Genomic DNA, 7,758 nt, shown 5'->3' on the forward strand with positions numbered 1-7,758 from the left:
CTTTAGTTGTAGCTTAAAAGATACCAAGTTAGATTTTAGACAAAAAACATGGGAGTTTAGAGGAAAGGTAAATCTTTATCTACTATGCTATAGATTAAAATTAGGAAATAAGCACTAGACTACAAAATTATACTGAAGAGGTGCTATCGTTGTGAAGTAGGTAAAATTGCGGAGTCAGCCAAAAAAATTTAATTCTAAAGAAGTTGCTCACTTGGTATTTGAGATAAAAGATTAACCCAAATGCTTATAAATTTCAGAATCTTTAACTTCACCATTTTCTTATAGCACTTAAAATTTTGAGAGGTTTCCTAAGTGCTTCCCTATTGGAATAATGAATTCAGAGAGTGTTCATGTACAAATATGCTTTTTCTGAAATATCAGAATACTGGAAAAACTTGATTAAGACTCTCAGTGACAAAATAAGACTCATATTTCAGCCTAAGAAATAAGAGAGAAAAAATATGTATCAATATGAGAAATAAAAATCAAAATTATAAGTATTTGCAAAAAAAAGTTTACTTACAAAATATGATCCTGAAATGAGAAATCATTAGAACCTGAATACAGTATAGCACAAAGAGTTTAGACTATAGAGACAGATATACTTGGATCTGAATTGTATACCCCTCTGCTGCTGGTTGTCAGAAAACAATCACTTCAGCCTCAGTTTGCTATTTGTTAAAATGGAGATAATAATATTACAGTCTTTTGGTAAGATTTAGATGAAAGAATACAAGAAAAGAATATGATTCATTATAGAACAGAATAATAGGTTCTTGGTAAATGTAAATACATGTACTCACAAAGTAGGTGTATGATCATCAGTCCAAATTAAATCTTTTCTTATATGCTATTATTATTCTATGAGAAAATGTAATTTGAAAGTTTAAAATGTTCACATCACACAAAAAATTTGAAACATATGTGAATACAATTTTACAACTTTTTCACAGCCTGAACAATTTATCAAACCTAAGTGCATGCATATTACAACAAATGTATTTATTAGTATACTTATTGCAGTATTGTTATGGAAAAATAGAAACAATCTCATATCTATCAATAGGTGAAGTATTTTTGATATATACTTAATACAGAATTATATGCATGGCATGAGATTGTTTAAAAATATATTGTTGAATACAAATTCATAATTTATCATAGTAGAAAAATAGAGATTACACAAATGTCTAAAATAAGAAAATCATTATTAACCTTTATATATTGATGTTACAGAAATATATATGCCATGACATGAAAAAGTTTAAGATATACTGTTTTTATAAAAAGATTGTGAAATAATATGCATGAAATAACACTATTTTTTGTTTTTTTTGTTGTTAAATGTATACACACACACACACACGCACGCACGCACACACGCCTCCTTAATAGTGATTCCACCATGGGATAGAATATTGAGAGAGGTTGGAAACAGAGAGGGACCTTTAGGCTTTTACTTTATATTATTTGGTATTACTTGATTATTTTTCAAAAATGACTTTCTGCTGTTATTTAGGGATAAGAAAAATAATAGCTGCTATAAACATTTCTCTCACAAGTCAGTGCTTTAAATCTTCTGTCCCTCTTGCTCAAATTTTTCTAAAGACTGGTTTTTTAGAACAGTTTTAGAATCACAACAAAATCTAGAGGAAGGTAGAGATTGCCCACATACTACCCTATAGGAACATCTCCCACATTATCAACATCCCCCACCAGAATAATATATTTATTACAATCCATGAACCTACATTGACATATCCTTATCATACAAAATCCATAGTTTACCTTAGAGTTCGCTCTTGGTATTGTACATTCTGCGGGTTTGGTCATATGTATAATGACATGTATCCACCATTGCAGTATTATACAGGGTATTTTCACTGCCCTAAAAATCCTCTTTCCTACCCTCAACCCCTGGCCACCACTGATCTTTTTACTTTATCCATAGTTTTGCCTTTTCCACAATGTCATATAGTTGGAATCATATAGTACATAGCCTTTCAGATTGGCTTATTTCACTGTATTTATATTAGTCTGTTTTCATGCTGCTGATAAAGCAAACCCGAGACTGGGAAGAAAAAGAGGTTTAATTGTACTTACAGTTATTATACATGGCTGGGGAGGCCTCAGAATTATGGCGGGAGGCAAAAGGCACTTCTTACGTGACAGCTGCAAGAGAAATATGAGGAAGAAGCAAAAGTGGAAATCTCTGATAAACCGATCAGATCTTGTGAGACTTAATTGACTATCATGAGACTAGCACAGGAAAGACCAGCGCCTATGATTCAATTACCTCCCCGTGGGTCCCTCCCACAACATGTGGGAATTCTGGGAGATATAATTCAAGTTGAGATTTGGGTGAGGACACAGCCAAACCATATCCATATTTTATGTGTTTAACTTTCTTTGATGTTTTTTCATGGCTTCATAGCTCATTTCTTTTTAATATTGAATAATATTCCATTATCTATATGTGCCAGATTACTTATTTGCTCACCTGCTGAAGGTTGCTTCCAAGTTTTGGCCATTATGAATAAAGCTGCTATAAAATCAACGTGCAGGTGTTTGTGGAGATGTAAGTTTTTCAGCTCCTTTGGATAAATACCAAAGAGATGATCAACATTTAGAATGTTCTTTATCAAATTACATTCTCAGAGATGTTTAATGAATTGAATCAGATTTTCCTTTCGAGAAAACAGAATATTGGTATTTTTCTCTAAGTTCATAGGAAAATAAAAGTTACTAAATATGTGTTTCTCAATTTTGTGTTAGCTCTGATTATACTAGCAAATCAGTGTTAGAAGTAGAGTTCCCAGATGGAACCTTGGATTAGGGTTCAAATTTAACTGTGTTGTAAAATTTGTTAAGAAGTTACATCATGTAATTACTGCATGGCTTTATTCATAGAAATGCTTAATAAAGAATAGGTATAAGTATTATTTTTAATCGTATGAGAATTACCTTTGATCTTACACAAAACAGTGACGTAAAGGCAATGAGATTTGTAGCAAAATTTCTGTTTCCTTTTCCAGAGTGTAGAGCTACCACTGGAAGGAGGCTGTTCAGCCAGAGGCTCTGCTTTCTCTAGCACCTGGGCATCTGTGCCTAGGTGACATGTTCTTGCCAATAAAATATGTAATAGTTTTGTGTTTCACTTATTGCCTGAATCTTTGAAGAAATGCTTTCACCAGTCTCTCTTCCTCTTCCTGCTAACTCAATTAAGGAGATTCCAAGAGAGGCTTTCTCAGCTGGGGCTCTTGGCTAAACCATAGAACAGAGTAAGTAATTTGATTGACTATTTTCTCAGTTCTCCTTGGGATCCACATAACTATTGCTGTTAGAGGTCTAGGAGAGAAGTTAATTCATTACATACAATGGATGCCTTAGAACATTCTGGCTTAATTGCCTGGAGAATTTCTTCCCTAGTGAGACAGGCTGAGGGGTGTGGAAACACAAGATGGAAGTAATGTGGGCACCTGAATCACAATATAGATGAAAAAAGCTCACCGCCAACCAGGATCTGTTTTAGATGCTTACATAAAAGAAAAATAAATTTCTAGTTTATTAAACTATTGGAAAACTGGTGTTTTTTATAGCAACAAGTATTATCTAAATTAATACAAACAATATATTCTTTGACCACAGTTCTGTATAATTGCTTACAAAATCAATAAGCAGAGATTGAAAATGTGTATAATCCCAGCTTTGAAATTAGAACTGGGATTAAAATATAAGTAAGACACAGTTATATTTGAAGTGAAATTTGAGATATTTATGAGAGAGATAGCAGAAATATATACATTAAAATGATTCTTTTTTTTGTTTTTTTTTAATTATTATTATACTTTAAGTTTTAGGGTACATGTGCACAATGTGCAGGTTTGTTACATATGTATACATGTGCCATGTTGGTGTGCTGCACCCATTAACTCGTCATTTAGCGTTAGGTATATCTCCTAATGCTATCTACTTTACTATTTCTCAAGAAAAGATAATATAGTTTAGAGGCTTAATAAATATTAGTAAGTGAATATATACTAATAATCATGTGTAGCAATTACACATTGCAATAAAACTGTAATAAAGATAAATATGTACATGTATTATACAATTAAAGAGATTACTGAAATTCTCAATAAAGGAAGATGCATATGTCCCATTAAACTTCAAGGTGAACTGCTATTAGAACGCAGACCATTTCTCATAAACATTCATGGCCATTACAGAAAACATAATCACTATCTGTGCTCAGAGATAATTTTATCCTTGTATTAGGAGGATAATACATTTACTCATTCATTTAAAACATTTAAAAATGTTTTTAACATTTTAGTATTCTCATTGCTTTAACCACAAAGTAATTCTTTAACTTAGGTATTCCATTTGATTTTATTGAAGAATGTTACAATATTGTCTTATTAAACCAATACAATGATAATTAAGAATAATTCTGTTATGTGTCATGAGAACCTCTTTTATAAGAATGTGCAGAGAATATTATTTTTTTGTCTTAGCAGAAGAAAGCCCTACCTTTGAGAAACTGATTTGTTTTACATTACAAAACCTATGAAGCTTGCGGGTGATCCCATTTTCCATGAAAGCCCTACCTTTGAGCAACTGATTTGTTCTACGTTACAAAACCTATGAAGCTTGCAGGTGATCCCATTTTCCATGAAAGTCCTACCTTTGAGCAACTGTTTTGTTTTGTGTTATGAAACCTATAAGGCTTGCAGGAGATTCCATTTCCCATTTTTTCTTATTTCTCTAGGAAGCCCAGAGCCAAACTGTGGTCAATCTCTAGCAGCAGGTACAGCAACTTGATATATTTCTAAACAGTTTTGCCGAATATTTTCTTTTCAATATGCTTGTTCAATTTTATTATGTATTTGCTTGTAAAGTGCTTTAAATGTTTTTGGGGGTATACATGGAATCAGCACAAATGTAAATTATCTAAAAATTAATAACATATCCTGCTTTGCCTTGTATTTATCTTTTCTTTTTAAAGTGCATTTATTTAATTATGTTTTTAATAAATTCTTCAATAAATGTCTCTGAGTCCCTGTTTTGGGGATACAATGGAAAACAAACAATATTCTTCGACATGACGGAATCTAGGATCTAGTGGCGGAGATATTAAACAAATAATTACATAAATAAATACATAATTATAAGTTTTGGTAAAATATTAAGTAAAATTTATGACTTTATGAACACCTCCTATAGGGGATCTCGTTCAGAAAGACTCCCTTTGAAGAAGCTGGGAACTCTGATGTTTAAAGAGAACTTTTAAATCACATTTCCTATTTGAAGCTGTACACAGGAATGTTCAAATTATTTATAATCGTGACAGGAGTTGGAGTGAAGATGACTCTGTCCGGGAGTTAAAATATTCAGTGAGGAAGGTAGAGTGACTAGAGGTGTGGAAATGATTATGAAGAAGAAGTTAAACTGTACCTAAGGAAACAAGAATATTTAGAAAGAGAGAAATAGTAATGGTCTAGAGGCAGAAGTAAAAATGTTACAGGCTCTAATTTCTAATTCTGAAATTTTAGGAACATTTCAGAGAAAAGAACACAGATGAAGTTTTACAGAAAAGCAAGATGTTAATTAACTGCCTTTCATTAAAGATATGGAGCATATTTTCAGAATGGTATGACTGTTTACCTTTTTAGAATTCTTAACCTCTATAAATCTAATAGTTTATAACATATTCCTTCCCTAACATGAATTGGAAATGGTTCATTGTATTGACAATAACAAATTTAAAAAGCTATCATATATAAGGTGACTACAACATTTATCATCCAAATTGAAATAAAATTAAGTGGGACTCTTCCATCAATCTGTATTATCAGCCTCTATGACAGACTGATTATATACTTCCCTTAGCTGAAAACAAACAAAAAACGTTAAGTTCAAGGAGGTAACTTTATTTTGATTTCTAGATTTTGCCAATAAATGTTTCCTAAGGCAGGAGCTGCTAACTACTCCTACAAATTCTTTCTTTCTCCTTTAGTAATAAAAGAAACCCAACTTTTATAACATATATTTTAAATAACACACTGATTATAACATAAGAAGTCCACTAACTTTTTCATCAAATGGGTTCTGCTTATGGGTAAAATTGAGCCATGAAATATGGTAGAAAATGCCTATACTAATGCAATATACAGAACAACAGTTGGACACCTCCAAATTACTCTGCAAACTTCACTCATCTTCCCCATTAACTTTTCTACTGCACCTTCTGAAATTTTTAAGCTGGGATCAAAACTATCCTGGTGTATCATTCCTCCTGGCTTAATGTCTTTCCTACCATCCTAAACTCTGGCAGCATCCTTGGTTACTTTGTTATCTGAATCAATGACGCATGTTACATTTTGACCTCAAGGTCACTGACTCACCCATCTCCAAGATGATTTTCTTTCACTCATCCTGATCTATAATGATGCTGAACTTTGCCATTATCAACAACTTCACCTTATGAATATTAGCCAGCCATGAAATTCCACTTTTCAAACATTGACCACTCAGGGAGTCAATGGAGCTCCTCATTTCCAGCCATTTCCTGAATTACTGCCATTACCACATTTAGATGTCACCCAAACCCTCATATGCATCTATTTCACTACTTTCTCACCCAGTTTCCCTTTATTTCTATTCACTTTACTAGATTTAATGGTTCATTACTATAAGAATTTCTTCATGAGTACCTTCATTCCCTTTAATCCTCTCTTTCTTTGTTGAATTTGTTTTCAAAACTCCAACATGAATAGCGTGTAACAGCTGCACTTTCAATGTGTAAGTAAAACCAGCCTGAATAGCTGAAGGAAATCATATAACTGAGTTGAGTAGTTTCAGTTAAATTAATCATTATCATCAATAGAGGCCACAAACTGGTACTTAATAGTATCAAGCATGCCTATTGTATTTCTCTTTCTACTTGCTTGAGAAATCTACACGTGCTGCCTCCACTTTCCCACTCCCTATTCCCCAGTCAGTCTCTCTCTGGCTTCTTCATTCACCCACTGACAGTTTTTTACCATAGTCAGTAAGTCTGTTCATGGTTCCAAGTCCATAGAATTACTTTGCGTACTCACCTCACTAAAATTCTCAATAAAAGTTGATAATGTTGAAGACTCCCTCTTTTTAATTTTTTTCATTCCTTTTTCTCATGATGTCATTTTTTCCTGAATTTTATCCTACCTTCTTGGCCACTCCCTTATAAACTCCTTTACCCCATATTATCCCATACTTAACACGATTCCATTCTGAGTCCACTTCATTTCTCTGTCTTATTAGGCAGGTATATCCATTACACATTTTAACATAATATTTACATAGCTATGACCTCCTAATGTGGACTTCCTGCCAAAACTCTCATTCTAGCCCCATGTTCATATTTTCAGTTGCCCAAACAGATAGCTTCAACTAGATGTATCACAGATGTCACAACTTTATTTAAAAATGCCTCTTTTCATTATTATTCAACCTTGTATTAGAGCTATCTTCTTTTCCCATCAAAGAGCATTGTCACTCATCTTTGAACCATCTTTGATTCCTCACTTTCATTCATCCTCCACATATAATTCATAGCAAACCTTGTCAGTTCTTTTTCGGATTTCTTCAATTACTTCCATGTGCCTTGGCACTCCCCATGTTTGGGCTCTAAAATGTTCTTGTCTGAACTATTGCCCCAGACTTGCAACTGGTATCTATAATCCAAATTTATCCCATTTCTTTTTTCACCTAAAT

The sequence above is a fragment of the Homo sapiens genome, chromosome 4 (genome assembly GCF_000001405.40).
Source record: "Homo sapiens chromosome 4, GRCh38.p14 Primary Assembly".
Taxonomy (NCBI): domain Eukaryota; kingdom Metazoa; phylum Chordata; class Mammalia; order Primates; family Hominidae; genus Homo; species Homo sapiens.